General features: G+C 41.0%; 3 pseudogenes, besides 1 other annotated feature; all 3 read left to right on the top strand.

Moving 5' to 3' along the window:
• Positions 710–1,356, top strand: OR7A3P (olfactory receptor family 7 subfamily A member 3 pseudogene; annotated as a pseudogene).
• Positions 11,879–12,824, top strand: OR7A1P (olfactory receptor family 7 subfamily A member 1 pseudogene; annotated as a pseudogene).
• Positions 15,798–15,857: an enhancer, noted in NCBI's record as "active region_14180". NCBI's record gives its function as "activates an Ori minimal core promoter by ATAC-STARR-seq in GM12878 lymphoblastoid cells {active_cell/tissue: GM12878}" and the evidence as "EXISTENCE:reporter gene assay evidence [ECO:0000049][PMID:35858748]".
• OR7A18P (olfactory receptor family 7 subfamily A member 18 pseudogene) lies at positions 17,411–17,837 on the top strand (annotated as a pseudogene).

The raw sequence follows: 17,894 nt of genomic DNA, 5'->3' as shown, positions 1-17,894 counted from the left end.
TTCCTTGAGGTCTCTGTTCAAATGTCACCTTGTCTGCTGGTCTTGCCTGTACACTCATAAAAAATAGCAACCCCTCTCCATTCTCTTTAATGTGCTTTCATTTTCTTCTAAGCACCATCTAACGCAACAGATGATGATGTCTTTATCAGCTCATTGTCTTTCTCCATCATTGGATAGTAAGGTTATCAGTTTCTCTGCACCCTACACTCATTACCTAGACAGTTCCTGGAACATGGTCAGCATACAATCAATATTACACAAGTGCGTAGAAGAATTTCTCATTAAAGAATATACAACCTCTTAGGGAAAGGTTGAGAATAGCACAAGAATTTTCAATCAGAGACAGCTCTGAGGAGCACAGAAACTGGGAAAAGTTCCATACACAAAATATAGAAATTAATGTCTTGGCTGCAAAATATAACTGGTTGTCTTTCAACAATGTGAGTGATGCCCTTTTGAGTAAAAATTGGTCATGTTCTCTTTCTCTGACTGGTAGTCACCTCAACCACATGGAACCAGAGAATGGTACGAGGATTTTAGGATTTCTTCTTCTGGGACTTTCAGAGGAACCAGAATTGCAGCCCGTTATGTTTGGACTCTTCCTCTCCATGTATCTGACAACTGTGTTTGGAAACCTGCTCATCATCCTGGCCATCTGCTCTGGTTCCCACCTCCACACCCCCATGTACTTCTTCCTCTCTAACCTGTCCTTTGTAGACATCTGTGTTACCTCCACCACAGTCCCAAAGACACTGTCAAACATCCGGACACAGAGTAAAGTCATCACCTATGCAGGTTGCATCACCCAGATGTACTTTTTTGTACTCTTTATAGTGTTGGACAGCTTACTCTTGACCGTGATGGCCTATGACCAGTTTGTGGCCATCTGTCACCCCCTGCACTACACGGTCATCGTGAACCCTCGGCTCTGTGGACTGCTGGTTCTGGCGTCCTGGATCATGAGTGCCCTGAATTCCTTGATAGAAAGCTTAATGGTGTTGCCACTGCTCTTTTGTACAGACTTGAAAATCCCCCACTTTTTCTGTGAACTTAATCAGATAATCCGCAGTGCCTGTTCTGACACCTTTCTTAATGACATGGTGATGTATTTGTCAGCTGTGCTTCTAGGTAGGGGATGTTTCACTGGGATCCTGTACTCTTACTTTAAGACAGTTTCCTCCATACGTGCAATCTCATCAGCTCAGGGGAAGTACAAGGCATTTTCCACCTGTGCATCGCACCTCTCAGTTGTCTCCTTATTTTATTGTATGAGCCTTGGGGTGTACCTTAGTGCTGCTGCAACCCACAACTCACTCTCAAGTGCAACAGCCTCTGATGTACACTGTGGTCACCCCCATGCTGAACCCCTTCATCTACAGTCTGAGGAATAAAGACATAAAGGGGGCTCTAAAACAATTCTTCAGAAGGAAGAAATAAAATGAGCATCTTTCAAGAAGTACATGTGATTTCAAAGCTCTAACCGAACTCAAACATTGTGATTCACGAATCAGATCATGGAAGGAGGGAAAGAGAATGTTCTGCTTCTATTCAGTTTCTAGAGTTTTAATTTCCTTGTTCTCAAGTGCTGTGTCAGACTTATGCTATTTCTTTAGAAAGCTTTCTGCTCTGATATCCAACTTACTTTTTGTTTGTCATTTTCCTAATTTCCCATAGTTATTTCCAAACTAGGGTAAAACACTTTTGGAGATTCCTATTTGTCTAATACACTAGAGAGTTGTATCAGTCCTAAAAAATCAATTGCACTTGGCAAATGTAAGGTCATTGGTATAATCATATTATAGATGAATATCTGAGATCACAGTTTTTTACTTCTGAGTCCTTCATTTCTTACTACCTTTACTGTTCTTCCTGATTATGTAAACTTGACCATGCTGGTGTGTTTATAATCATCATGGCATTTTATTCTCCTCATTAGGATCCTGTCTGCTATCCAGCTCAGTGTCTACACTGCCTACTATATTCCCTGGTAAAGAGGAGGAAGGCGAATATTACTTATAACATACATGTTCCTAGTGTAGTCTACACAGAAAGACACATTTGCATGAATCAATTGACTTCATATGGCCTCAGATTCAGAGACGACCTTAAATATGATGGACTAAAATTTTCAGTCATGCAGTGATTATCGTGGAAGATTTGTTTTTGATGGTGTGTGATATGGTTTGTCTGTGTCTCCACCCAAATCTCACCTTGATTGTAGCTCCCATAATTTCCTTGTGTCATGGGAGGGACCCGGTGGGAGGTAATTGAATCATTGGGGCAGGTCTTTCCCATGCTGTTCACATGGCAGTGAATAAGTCTCATGAGATCTGATGGTTTTATAAAGGGGAGTTCCCCTGCATATGCTCTCTTGCCCGCCGCCATGCAAGACATGCCTTTGGCCTTCTGCTGTGATTGTGAGGCCTCCCCAGCCACGTGGAACTGTGAGTCCATTAAACTTCTTTTTCTTTATAAATTACCCAGTCTTGGGTATGTCTTTATCAGCAGTGTGAAAACGGACTAATACAACTCATTAAAGGGTGGAAGCTTGTTGTCCATGGGTAATGAGGTTTGTTCATTTAGGTAAAGGATTTGGTGTCATGATCTACATTATTTGATTGCATCATCTTTCTGTTTCTGATTAAAAGTTTCCAGTGCTACAAATATGACTTCTTGCATTGTTCTAAAACTATCACTCCCTTTAATAAATTATGTCACAAGCATTAAACTGGAGGTAAGTGAAGGATATGTGTATTTACTGTATCATCACTTGCTTTATCTCTTTTATACTCCAAACTCTCTAATGATGACTCACATAAGAGCTTGAATTTCTTCCCAGTATTGCATGTGAGATTAGAGACTTGAGATTCCAGGTTGCAATTTGTTTCAGCAAAAATATACATGTCCTGCCAAACTCTTCTGGTTACCTAGAGGAAATCTAAAAGTAGTCATCCTATGATACAGTTATGTGAAGTAAATATAAATATCCATATAATTATGAACACTGCTTTCTGATATCAGAAAAAGCACCAAAAAAAAAGAGCCAACAGAATATTCTGTATACAGTGAATCCAATAAAAAACTAAAAAACAAAAGGATCTGACACCTAAAAAAAGATAATTCTGAATATCTTTAGTTATGTTGCTTTGATTATTGTATCAGTAATCTAATGTTGTGTAACAAAACATCCCAATAATAAATGATTTAAAGTCATGCTTTTAAAAAATCACATCAGAGTCTACATTGTGGAAGTTTTCTCATTGGGGATTAGGACATATATATCCTGGACAAGACAAAAATATTCAGCCATAGGACTATCCAAGCTTAATTAGCTCTTGAATGTTGGGCAGTAAGGACAATCTTTTTTTAACTTTTATTTTAGGTTCAGGGGTACATGTGCAGGTTTGCTATATAAGCCAACTGTTTGTTGTGAGGGTTTGGTGTACAGAGTATTTTGTCACCCGCTTAATAAGCATACCTGATACATAGTTTTTTTTATCCTAACCCTCCTACCACCCTCAACACTCAAGGAGGCCCCAGTATCTGTTGTTCCCCTCTTTGTGTCCATGTGTTCTCATTATTTAGCTCCCACTTGTAAATGAGAATATGTGGTATTTGGTTTTCTGTTCCTACGTTAGTTTGCTAAGAATTATGGCCTCCAGCTCCAACCACGTTGTTGCAAAGGACACAGTCTCATTCTTTTTGATGACTCTGTAGTATTCTATGTTGTATAGTACCACATCTTCTTTATTCGGTCTACTATTGATGGACATTCAGGTTGATTCCATGTCTTTGCTATTGTGAATAGTGCTGTGATGAACATATGTATGCATATGTCTTTATAGTAGAATGATTTACATTCCTTTGGGTATATATCCAATAATAGAATTTCTGAGTGAAGTGGTAATCCTGTTTTAAGGTCTTTGAGAACTGTGAAACTGCTTTCCACAATGGCTGAACTAATCTACATTCCCAAAAGCAGTGTGGAAGTATTTCCTTTTCTCCAGACTCTCACCAGCATTTGTTATTATTGGACTTTTAAATAATAGAGCAAGGACAATTTGAAAGAGGAAGAGCAACAGAAGTGGTGTCATCTCACAATGCCTCTTACAGCTTCTTCTCACAGATTGAACATCTCATGACCACTCACATCCTATCAGACAAAGAATGTCTCAATCATCGTAGGTGTTACACTTCTCCCAGTTGAGGCATCATCAAAATCCAGAGCCAAAGGTGGAGAAGACTGATCCTCCTAAAGGCAACATAGAAAGGCAACACAAAAATACAGAAAGAGGTGTCTAATTATCTAAGAGTTAATAAATAAGTGGAAAATAATTATCTACTGGGAGAAAAACAGACATGCAAGCATTTTATACTTCAGTATACATTAAATATGTATGAATTACATGCTATCACCTAGAAGCCAGGAAGATAAGATTTCCATGAAGAGTTGGAGGAGCTCCTAGAAGATTAGGTGGATAATTTGATACACTAAGAAACATCAGCTTTACAGATATTCTCAAAAGTAGAAGATAGTTAAAGAGTCAGACATATCTACTGTGAGTATTTGGAGCCAGCATGAGGGTGACAGAGACAATGATGAATGATTTTATGTCAACAAAGCATAGAATGATAGACTCTCAGGCACTCTCCTCCTTGTGCAGGGCCCTGGAAGGAGGTCTCCCTTCATGATCACAACTTGCTGTCTCCTCAAAGCAGGACAGTGCTAGACTGTAGCAAGAAACCTTTCTGGTGTCACAATGAGCAGAGTAACTGGGAAACTAGGACATGGTCCAAATATCTGCTATCCATTGAACACCTGCTCTGCGCCAAGTAACTTCCAATGGGCTTTGAAGTCTTACTCCTTCTCACCTAAACTTCATAAGGTAAGTGGAACTTCTAGAAGTTTCATTTCCTGTCATTCCGTAAGTGTTCAAGACTTACGCGTAAGTAAACTCGATTATGCAAAAGCTGAGCTACCGAGTCCAACATTTGACCTCCTAAACCAGACATGAGGAGCAGGGTAGGATTCTTGGTAGAAAAAGCCTCAAAATATGTATACCTGCCTTTAACACTGACCACAGCCTCGATCCCCAAAGAGTGTTCCGCAGAACAGGATGAATAGCATCAACACCAACAGGAAAACTGTCAAAAGTATAAAATGTTGGGACCAGTCCTAGATGTCTGAAATTAGAATCGACATTTGAACAAGAACCCTAGGTGATTCATATATACAGTGAAATTAGGGAAGTTCTGGACTGGAATAGTCTCAGCCTCCCCAGTGTCCACATTTGTTTGCATTAATTCTTTCTGCTGTGGGCTGTCCTGTGCATTGTAGGTTGTTGGGCAGCTTCCCCGGCTTCAATCTACAATGTGCCAGTAAGTAGCACTTCCCCACATGTGACAACCAAAAGTGTATCCAAACATTTCCTAATATTCCTGGAGCACAAACACCCCTGGTTGAAAATCAGCAACCTGGCCCGGTACGGTGGCTCATGCCTGTAGTCCTAGCGCTTTGGGAGGCTGAGGTGGGTGGATCATTTGAGGTCAGGAGTTGGAGACCAGTCTACCCAACATGGTGAAACCCTGTCTCTTCTAAAAATACAAAAATTACCCAGGCATGGTGGCACATGCCTGTAATCCTAGCTACCCTGGAGGCTGAGGCAGGAAAACTACTTTAACCCAGGAGGCAGAGATTTCAGTGAGCAGAGATCGCACCATTGCACTCCAGCCTGGGTGACAAGAGTGAAACTCTGTCTCAAAAAAAAAAAAAAAAGAAAGAAAATAGAAAAGAAAAAAGTAAAGAAAAGAAAAGTCAGTAACCTAGATGTGACAACTGGAAACATTTGGATGGCATTCTGATCAAATCCCTTCCCTTACTTGGTTCATAACTTTGGGCAGGTCACTAACTCACCTTAACCAAAATCCTAAAAGTGCAGAAAGAGGCGTCTAATCGTTGGACCTCATAGAACAAAGATGTATAAAAATGAGACACATTACATGTGATATTAAATGAGACAAACCATATAAGATTTTAACTTATTCCATGATGTCTACAAAGGTTTAAGTATATCTCTTATGATTACCAAATGTTTTATAAAGGAAGGACTGAATGATAAGTTGTACTTTGATGCTTGTGTGTTTACAAGCAAGAAACTGCTCATTGCTTTGTCAAAAGCATCAGGAAGCCAAGGACTGTAGTAAATACCCGTGGCTTTATGACAAATAAACACAGTTCTCTCCCTTTTGATGAGGAAAGAGCGTTGGTCTGGAGATGTCGGCAGCTGTGTTCCAACCACAAGTCAATGATTTGAATATCCAAGGGATCTAGTAAAGACCATGTACTCAGCCTTACACTTTGGATAACATTTTAATTGAGGGCTGTGAAAAGGTGCAATGGCACTTAGACCTCTGGAAGGTACAGAGTTCAAAGAGAAGGAGTAATGAAGACTGGATTCACATGACTTCTAACTTGATTCTCTTGGGAACAGAGAATCAGCAGGAAATTGTTCTTTCTTTCCACATCAGTGTTCCACAGGGAAATCAGGTGCTCCAGGCTTAGAGTAGCAACAGGGAAATATATCTCGCTAGCAGATATTAGGAGCTGTAAATATTTCATCTGCTATTGTCTCTGGGATTAGACAACCCTGGGCTGGATGGGATGTGGTTGATTCTTTTGTAGTCCTAAGTCTGGCTGTGTGGCTGATGCTTAACTCTTCCCTTCTGTCTGTCTGGAGACAGAGCTTCAGTCTGCATCATCAACTACCCAGGGAGGAATTTCAACTTCCACACAGAGACCTTCATCTCTGAGACCCCATACAGGTGCGTCTGAGACCCCAGAAAGTACTGCAGGAAATGTTCAAAGAGAATGGAAGCCAAGAATGTTTACCTGAGGTCACCTAGTATCAAGCCAGGTGAGAGATTCATGTGTGTTTGTTTGCCTGGTTGACTAATTTATAATTTATTTATTTTATATGTTAAAATGTGTCTGTAAGACTCAGCAATGCAGGGATTGTTGTTGACAATTAATTGAGGGATATGGAGGTTCAATTGGATGAGATTGAAGAAGGAATGGAAGACATAAAGTGGTTCCAGTGAAGTTAGAACCTAGGAGGTTTGCAGTTAAAGAAGTAGGAAAGGGGCCAGGCACGGTGACCCACACCTGTAATCCCAGCAGTTTGGGAGGTCGAGGCAGGCGGATCACCTGAGGTCAGGAGTTCGAGACCAATCTGACCAACATGGTGAAACCCCATCTTCTACTAAAAATACAAAATTGGCTGGGTGTGGTGACACACACCTGTAGTCCCAGCTACTTGAAAGGCTGAGGCAGGAGAATCGCTTGAACCCAGGAGGTGGAGGTTGCAGTTAGCTGAGATCATGCCGTGGGCACAACAGAGAAACTCTGTCTCAAAAACAAACAAACACACAAAAAAAGAAGTAGGAGAGTAGAATGTAGAATATTAGGTGTGGGTGGATGTGCAATGAATTGAGGGTTTATTTTTAAAATTAAGATGAGTGTATTGGAGCATGTTTCTGTATTCATTAGAAAGATCTAGACCAACGGGCTGCTTACAAATACTACCTTGCAACAGTAGTTCACAAGACAGACATTTCACAGTATCTTCTCTCTCTTGCTAAATATTCACCTGAATAAAATAAATGTTATTTTATCGTCAAAATGGGAACACTAAAGAGTTTTTACTTGCCATGACTTTCTTTTTTTTCTGCTTTTTTTTTATTATTATACTTTAAGTTTTAGGGTACATGTGCACAACGTGTAGGTTTGTTACATATGTATACATGTGCCATGTTGGTGTGCTGCACCCATTAACTCGTCATTTAGCATTAGGTATATCTCCTAATGCTCTCCCCGCCCCCCACCCCCACCCAACAACAGTCCCCGGTGTGTGATGTTCCCCTTCCTGTGTCCATGTGTTCTCATTGTTCAGTTCCCACCTATGAGTGAGAACATGAGGTGTTTGGGTTTTTGTCCTTGCAATAGTGGAAGTCGGTGTGGCGATTCCTTAGGGATCTAGAACTAGAAATACCATTTGACCCAGCCATCCCATTACTGGGTATATACCCAAAGGATTATAAATCATGCTGCTATAAAGACATGTGCACATGTATGTTTATTGTGGCACTATTCACAATAGCAAAGACTTGGAACCAAGCCAAATGTCCAACAATGATAGACTGGATTAAGAAAATGTGGCACATACACACCATGGAATACTATGCAGCCATAAAAAATGATGAGTTCATGTCCTTTGTAGGGACATGGATGAAGCTGGAAACCATCATTCTCAGCAAACTATCGCAAAGACTTTCTTATTTATGTATTTATTTATTTTACTTTAAGTTCTGGGATACATGTGCTGAACATGCAGGTTTGTTACAGAGGTATACATGTGCCATGGTGGTTTGCTGCACGTATCAACCTGTCATCTAAGTTTTAAGCCTCGCTTTCTGTTGAGTCTGAGTATACTCTACCTGAGGGTTTAGTAGCTTTCATTTTCTCCATTGCAAATTGTGCACGTTCTATGCTTTTATATTCTGGTTTCTGAGGTTTTTTATACTATTATGTTGATTGCATTCTTTCAAACAATGGATTGGAAGATTTTTTTTCCTGCTAACTTTACTGAATAACATTTAATTTTTTTGTGTAGGTAAAGATGTATGGTTAAGGAAGTATGCAAAATTACATTATTTTGCCAAAGGAATCATGAAGCCAAGCAATACAGAACTCATGGTTTTCTATCAAGAGAACACAGTTCACTCCCTTGCTGAAGAGGGGAAGAGTCATTCTCTGGAGATATCAATGTCTGTGTTCCCATCACAGTCAATGCTCTGCAGATCCAAGGGATCTAATCAAAGACAGGCTCCTCAGTTTAGACTGTGGAGAAAAACCTTCCCCCAGGGTTGGGATACAGTGTTAACAGATTACATTTCTGGAAGGCAAGCAGGTCCATAGTGAAGAAGTAATAAAACTGGATTCACCTCTCTTTTAATCTGGTGCCTTGGATACAGAAAATGCAAGAAAAATAAAAAAGTTCCACGCAGAGCAATGTCTCATAGGGACACGATGTGCTCAAGGCTGGAGTAACAGGAGGAAGTTTGCCTGATGAGCAGGTACACAAAGCTGTAAATTTCTCCCCTGCTACTGTTCCTCAGCACATGCTACCTTGGGCTTGATGGGACATGCTTTCCTTTTGGAGTCCTAATCTGGCTGCTTATCATCTGATTAAACCTCACATCTATCTCCCCTAAACATTTGAAGCTTTATATGTTTATATAATACGAAATTATAACCTTAGATACTGTTTCCTCCCCACATTTTAAACATTTTCCTGTGATATTCTTCAATTTCCAAGAGGCGATTTCACAGTGAATTAGTGGTGCATCTTTATGTCAGTAAATTATTACTGTCATATTTTTCTATAAGGATTTTTCAGACTTTCTTTCTATGTTGATTCATGCAGCTGTTTTGAAATAACTATTCTTTTTTAATTTTAATTTTTAGTTCTGGGGTACATGTGCAGGATGTGCAGGTTTGTTAGGTAGTAAACGTATGCCATGATGGTTTGCTGCACCTATGAACCCATCACCTAGGTATCAAGCTCAGCATACATTAGGTATTTTTCCTAATGCTCTCCCTCCCACCACCCCCCCCGCCAGCAGACCTCAGTGTGTGTTGTTCCCCTCCATGTGTCCATGCATTCTCATTGTTCAGCTCCCACTGATAAGTGAGAATGTGTGGTGGTTGGTTTTCTGTTCCTATGTTAGTTTGCTGAGGATAATGGTTTCTGGCTTTATTGATGTCCCTGCAAAGGACATACACCATGGAATACTATGCAGCCATAAAATGAAATAACTGTTCTTAACCTAATAGCATCCTCACTTATATTCTATTCTCCATAAGATTTTAGTTCCTCATAAACCTTCTCTTTACACAAAGGTTTATACAAAGGTTGAGTAGTATGTTATGCATAACACATGTGCTTTTTATATTTGACTATAGGTTTTTTTGTTTGTTTGTTTGTTTTAAGGCTCATCTTCCCTTGTCCTTTCTCAGTTGATAAAAGGTATGGAAATATTTTGTGATTTTTATGTTAAAAATCGGTTCTTACCCAGGGGTGGTTTTGTCTCCCAGGGGACATTGAGCAATGACTGGGTTGGCTGTCACCCTGGGGAGGGTCAGTAGAGAACAGGGAAGCTGATAAACATCGTACAATGCACAGGACAGACCCCAGCACAATAAATAAGCTGGCCCAGAAGTTCCTTTTGTATTTCCTTTTTGAATAGTTGATTTTTATCATTTGCTCATTTTTTTTTCCATGGGGATTCTCAATCTATCAGTATCTTGACACAGAAAAGATATCACCATGTTTGATATTTGGTAAATTTCCCTTTGTCTTTTCTGATTTTTGCTGGGCCTCAGGGATATAAGAGGAGTTGGAATGTTTTCAAAACTAAGGAAGCCTTTTCTTCCTTAAGGTCTCTGAGGGACTATGTGAGCTTATTAGATTATTTTTCCCTTCAGTTCCAATCGATTTTCTCTCTCTGCCTCTCGGTTTTTTGTTTGTTTGTTTGTTTTTGAGACAGAGTCTCGCTTTGTCACGCAGGCTGGAGTGCAGTGGCGCTCGAGGTTCCATATGCATGAGAAGTTTTCAAACTGGAAATTCTAGGTACCATATCTGTATCTTCTTGGGGAAAGATAATTTGATATTAACAGCTTGCCTGGTATCCATTCCTTTCTAATACTGTGAGTGGGATGAGAAGCGTGAGGGGGTAACATGGCCCCAGGAAGCCATGGCTGCCTGTGTGGGTGCGTTCTCTGTGTGTGTGTGCACGTGTGTGGGTGCACAACTTTAGAGTGAGCACAGGTTTCAGAGATAGGGAACCTGATCTCTATATTTCAAAAGGTAACCCATCAGATAAAGGCCACATCTCAGGAAAATATCAGTAAACAGAATGAGCATGCATTGCAGTTCATGAAACACCTTTGCAGCCAAATTAAAGGCATCAGTATCTGGACAGAGGGACTCTTTGTGTCTTCAAATTTCAGCAGCTATGAGGACACTTCCTTCCCTAACATCCTCCGACAGCCCTCGCCTCTTGCTCATTCCCCGGCCACACTGTCTTCTTCGCAGTCCTCAAATATCTGAAAGAAGCACATTCCTCGGGGTCTTTCATTGATCATTTTGCTCCATTGCACAAACTTCTGCAGGGAACGTAGTGCCCTCCACCCTGTCTTCATTATGGGCTCTCTTCATTTGTCACCTTCTCTGCTGGTCCTGCCTGAACACCCTGGAAAATCTATTACCCCATCCACTCTTTCCTTCTAACCTCCTTCTTCATAGGATGCATCACCATCTGATATTGAGGATGGCATTTTAAAAACATACTTGTATTTTTCATTCATCATTAAATTGTAGGAAGTTATTTATTTATTTATTATTTTATTTTATTATTATTTTTTAAAGACAGGGTCTCACTCTGTTGCCCAGGCTGGAGTGCAGTGGCATGATCTCGGCTCACTACAATCTCCACCTCCTGGGTTCAAGTGATTCTCATGCCTTAGCCTCCCAAGTAGCTGGGATTACAGGCATGCGCCAGCACGCCCGGCTAATTTTTTTTGTATTTTTAGCTGAGACCGGTTTTTGCCATGTTGGCCAGGCTGGTCTCGAACTCCTGACTTCAGGTGATCCGTCCACCTTGGCCTCCGCGAGTGATGAGATTACAGGCGTGAGCCACTGCAGCCAGCCCATATTAACTTCTTGACTGTAGAATATAAGTGAGAATATTTCTGATATGTTTGTAATGCATGCTTGTGTCATGTTCTCTTTCTCTCTCTTTTGGAAGTCACATCAACAAGATGAAACCAGGGAATGAGACACAAATTTCACAATTCCTTCTCCTGGGACTTTCAGAGGAACCAGAATTGCAGCCCTTCCTCTTTGGGCTATTTCTGTCCATGTACCTGGTCACCGTGCTCGGGAACCTGCTCATCATCCTGGCCACAATCTCAGACTCCCACCTCCACACCCCCATGTACTTCTTCCTCTCCAACCTGTCCTTTGCAGACATCTGTTTTGTGTCTACCACTGTCCCAAAGATGCTGGTGAACATCCAGACACAGAGCAGAGTCATCACCTATGCAGACTGCATCACCCAGATGTGCTTTTTTATACTCTTTGTAGTGTTGGACAGCTTACTCCTGACTGTGATGGCCTATGACCGGTTTGTGGCCATCTGTCACCCCCTGCACTACACAGTCATTATGAACTCCTGGCTCTGTGGACTGCTGGTTCTGGTGTCCTGGATCGTGAGCATCCTATATTCTCTGTTACAAAGCATAATGGCATTGCAGCTGTCCTTCTGTACAGAATTGAAAATCCCTCATTTTTTCTGTGAACTTAATCAGGTCATCCACCTTGCCTGTTCCGACACTTTTATTAATGACATGATGATGAATTTTACAAGTGTGCTGCTGGGTGGGGGATGCCTCGCTGGAATATTTTACTTACTTTAAGATACTTTGTTGCATATGTTCGATCTCATCAGCTCAGGGGATGAATAAAGCACTTTCCACCTGTGCATCTCACCTCTCAGTTGTCTCCTTATTTTATTGTACAGGCGTAGGTGTGTACCTTAGTTCTGCTGCAACCCATAACTCACTCTCAAATGCTGCAGCCTCGGTGATGTACACTGTGGTCACCTCCATGCTGAACCCCTTCATCTACAGCCTGAGGAATAAAGACATAAACAGAGCTCTGAATCGATTCTTCAGAGAGCAGAAACAGGAGGGCCATTTTCCAGAAGTTCTTGAGATTTCAGAGCTCTAAATCCCCTAGCCAGAAATTATGATTCATGGATCAGATTGTGAAAGTAGAATTTTCTCCTAGTATTTATATTCTGGACTTTAGATTTCTTTAACCTTGACGACATTAGAAAATTTACACTTTTTCTTAATAAAGCTTTCTGCTCTGATATGCAACTGTTTTTGTCCTCTGTCATTTTTCTAAAATTACATCCAAACTAGGTCCAGAAACAAATGGAAGTTTTTCTCATACAGGGGTGAGTTATATTCATCCCAAAGAATTAACTACGCTTGGCAACTGTAAGGTCATTAATATAATTTTATGGTAGATGAATATCTGAGCCCACAGTTTTCTATTTCTGAGTCTGTTATTTCCTTTTCTATGAAAACCTTAGCTGTTCTTCCTGAAAATGTCAACTTGAACATACTGCTGAGGTCTTAGCAATGCACCAACATGTAACAGTCTCTCGCCTGAGATAAAACCCAGAGTTCTTCGTCCTACCTCCAAGAACATTAAGGAGCGTGGACACAAAGATGAGGTTGGAGGGAAAAGAAGAAAGCTCTCGGCCAGCAGAGAGGGGGTCCTGAATGGGAAGCCCCCTATGAGGCCCGTTCTGAGGTTTTTATGGACTGGAAAGGGGAAGCAATGTGTTTAGTCTGCAGGCTGTCTTGGAGAACGCTGACTCAGCTTGGCTCAGGATCTTGGCCTGGGACCTTTCAGAAAGCTTGGCCCAGGACCTTTGCCCAGGATCAATCAGGGGCTGAATTCATAGAGACCAGACTTATAGTCCAAAACAAGGGAAGTAGAGTGCCCACCGGAACCCACCAGAGCCCACTGCGTCCATGCCCACGAAGGGAGAAAAAGCTTTTTCCTGGGAGGCCACTGACTATACAAAGGACAAAGGCATTTCTATGCCAGGCCTTGTTTCTTATCTGAGTGAGCCAGAGGTTTGTGAAAGTTTTTATCTAAATGAGCCAGGAGTTTTCCTATCTGTGCAGCCGTGGGCATGTCTCCAGACACAATCCCCTATGCTTCTTCCCTTATTGGTGCCGGCAGCTTCATTTTTTTTCCCCAGGCTTTTTTTTTATATTATATGGAGATGAGGCACTGACCCATGAGTCAAAGGCTCTCCAGGAATCCTTATCTTGCTATCTACCTAAGGCAAGCTAACTAACTCCTTTCAATACTAGTGTGTTTTACAGCTAGGCAAGGGATTTTACTCGCCTCACTGGGGTCCTATGCTCTATTTCAGCTCAACGTCAACAGTGCCTATATTTTCTGATAAAGATAAAGAGTAGGTAGGAAAATACAGCTTATCAAATACATGTTTTAGATACAGTTTACAAAGAAAGGCACATTTTTATGTGTCAGTTGACCTCATACATCCTTAGTCACAGATGATGTTAAATGTGATGGAATAAAATGATCAGTCATGCACTGAATGACTATAGAATATTTGTTTTTGATGATGTACATCTGGTCCTGGAAGTGTGGAGATTTGGTGTCCATGTGTAATCAGGTTTCTTCATCTGAGTGAAGGATTTGGTGTCATGGTCTGTATTATTTCAATGTACCATCTTGCTTTTCCTCTTAAAATTTTCTACTGCTCCCTACGAATATGACTCCTTGCATTATTCTAAAAATATCTCCTCCTTTAAAAACTGTCTCATAAGCATTAAAGTGTAGGTAAGTGAACAATATGTGTATTAAATTTATCATAATTTGCTTTGTTCCTTTAATAGTCTCTTTGGTCCTCATGGTCAAATAATGACTCACACAAGACATTGAATTTCTGCCCAATATTGCCTCTGTCAATAGACACTTGTGAATTAGAGTCACAATTTATCCCTGCAAAAACCTATATGTCCTTTCAACTTCTCCTGGTTATCCCGAAGGCAATCTAAAAGTTGCCTCACTTTAATACAGTTATCTGAAATAAACACGAGTAACCAGGTGATCACAAATGTTTTCTTGAAATATCAGAACAACTGTGAAAAAAGAAGAGGCAGAAGATTATTCTGAATGTCACTAGTTCTGTTTGCATTGATTAATGTATCAGTAAGCTACTGCTGTGTAACAAGCCATCTCAATAATAAATGGTTTAATATCATGCTTTTTCATCCTGTAGGAGTTTATGATAGAGAAGTTTTTACATTGGGAATTAGAACTTAAGCGTTTTTTAAGGAAATAAAAATATTCAGTTCATAGGACTGCCCAAATCTAGTTGGTTCTTGAATTTTGGATAGCAAGGACACTTTGAGAGAGGAAGATTAAGAGAAGTGGTGGAATCTCACAGTGCCTCTTACAGTTTCTTCACAGGCATTAAATATGTCATGACTGCTCACAGTCTGTTAGACAAATCATGTCACATGTTCAAGATGTGCATCAACCGTTTTAGGGATACACACTCCTCCCAAGTGAATTATTGTCAAGACCCAGAGCCAAAGGTGGAAAAGCACCATCCACCTATAGACAATAGGGGAGGTAATAAATGAATGAAAAATAAAATGATCTACCTGAGGGAGAAACAGACATGTGTGGGCTGCTAGCCACCCAGGTGCCAAGGCAAGAGACCGAGGGCACAAGCTGTTCCAATATAATAAAGAAAATATATAAAATAAGAATAGTTATACTAGAAGTAGATTATAGATATCATTATATATGAATATCATTAATCATTAGTTTGTACATTACTCTTTATTCCAATATTATAATAATCTTTGCTCTACAATTATAACCTAGGAAAAACCAGGCCATACAGAGATAGGAGCTGAAGGGGCATGGTGAGAAGTGACCAGAAGACAAGAGTGTGAGCCCTCTGTCACGCCCAGATAGGGCCACTAGAGGGCTCCTTGGCCTAGCGGTAGCATCAGTGTCTAGGGAAGGCACCCATTACTTAGCAGACCGGGAGAGGGAGTCTCCCTTTCCCCGGGGGAGTTAGAGAAGACTCTGCTCCACCACCTCTTGTGGAAGGCCTGACATCAGTCAGGCCCGCCGGCAGCCATCCGGAGGCCTGTCTCCCTGTGATGCTGTGCTTCAGCGGTCATGCCCGTGTTTCACTTTCATGTTCCACCCTGTACACCTGGCTCTGCCTTCTAGATAGCAATAACAGAATTAGTGAAAATACTAAAAGTCTTTGAAATGCATAGAAGAAATAATGGCTCTCTCTCTCTCTCTCTCTCTCTGCCCTGACTGCCAAACAGGGAAGGGCCCTCTGTCCGGTGGACACGTGACTCATGTGACCTTATCAATCACTGGAGATGACTCACACTCCTTACCCTGCCCTTTTTGCCTTGTATCCAATAAAAAACAGTGCAGCCAGGCATTCGGGACCACTACCAGTCTCCGCATCTTGGTGGTAGTGTTCCCCCAGGCCCAGCTGTCTTTTCTTCTCTTTGTCTTGTCTCTTTATTTCTACAATCTATTGTCTCCACACACGAGGAGAAAAACCCACAGACCCTGTAGGGCTGGTCCCTACAGACATGAAAGTCTTTCATACTTCTGTTGAAATTAAATGTGTATAAATTTTATCTACAGTTTTCTCCATGTCTATTTTTGTATTTTTACCACATGCTATACTCTGGCAATGAGGAAGATAAGATTTCTATTAATAGTTGGAGTTTCCAGAAGAGCTGGAGAAATAAATTGACGCAACAAGAATTATCAGAATTACAGATATTCCCAAGATTAAAAGATAGCAGAGCAGGTTATAAGAGTCTAAAAATGAACATACTCATGCATGTATCTTGGTAATAGAATGATTTCTATTCCTTTGGATATTTACCCAGTAGTGGCATTGCTGGATCAAATGGTATTTCTGGTTCTAGATCTTTGAGGAATCACTACACTGTCTTCCACACTGGTTGAACTAATTTGCATTCCCACTAACAGTGTAAAAACATTCTTATTTCTCTGCAACCTTGCCAGCATCTGTTTCTTGACTTTTTAATCATTGCCATTCTGACTGGCATGAGATGGTATCTCATTGTGGTTTTGATTTGCATTTCTATAATGATCAATGATATTGAGCTTTTTTTCATATGTTTGTTGGCCACAGGAATGTCTTCTTTTGAGAAGTGTCTGTTCATGTCAAAGACATAGAATCAACCCAAATGCCCACCAGTGATAGACTGGATAAAGAAAATGTGGTACATATACCCCATGAAATACTATGCAGCCATAAAAAGGAACAAGTTCATGTCTTTTGCAGGAACGTGGATGAAGCTGGAAGCCATTACCCTCAGCAAACTAACGCAGAAACAGAAAATCAAATACCACATGCACTCACTTATAAGTGGGACCTGATCAATGAGAACATATAGACATAAGGAGGGGAACAACACACACTGAGCCCTGTTGGGGGGTGGGGTGGGGGGGAGGGAGAACCTTAGGAAAACTAGCTAATGCCTGTGGGGCTTAATACCTAGGTGATGGATTGATAGGTGCAGCAAACCACCATGGCACACGTTTACCTATGTAGCAAACCTGCACATCCTGCATATGTACCCCAGAACATAAAATAAAATAAAAGGAGTCTAAACATTTTTAATGTGAATTTTTGGAGCCAGGCAGAGGAGGACAGAGAAGATGTCCCTGAGTATAATAAAGCAGACGTGGAAGGACACTCATGCAATCTCCTCCCCGTGTGGACCCCTGGAAGCAGGTGTCCCTTCATGATCACAAATTTCTGTCTCCGAGAAGCAAGGCATGTCCTTTCCCAAGAAACTTTTCCAGAATCACAAACTTTTCCTACTCTTTGCAGGGATGAATGTATTTCTGCAGACTGTGATGGCCTATGACCACTTTGTGGCCATCTGTCACCCCCTGCACTACAGGGTCATCATGAATCCTGGGATCTTTGGACTGTGGGTTCTGGTGTCCTGGAGCATGAGTGCCCTGAATTCCTCACTGCAAAGCAGAATGTGTTGCAGCTGTCCTTCTGCACAAACTTGGAAATCCCCCCATTTTTTTCTGTGAACTTAATCAGTTGATCCTGCTTGCCTGTTCTAACACTTTTTTTTTTTTTTTTAGTGAGATGGAGTTTTGTTCTTATTACCCAGGCTGGAGAGA

Source organism: Homo sapiens, chromosome 19 (genome assembly GCF_000001405.40).
Source record: "Homo sapiens chromosome 19, GRCh38.p14 Primary Assembly".
Lineage (NCBI taxonomy): Eukaryota > Metazoa > Chordata > Mammalia > Primates > Hominidae > Homo > Homo sapiens.
This window is presented reverse-complemented; position numbering and strand designations above follow the sequence as displayed.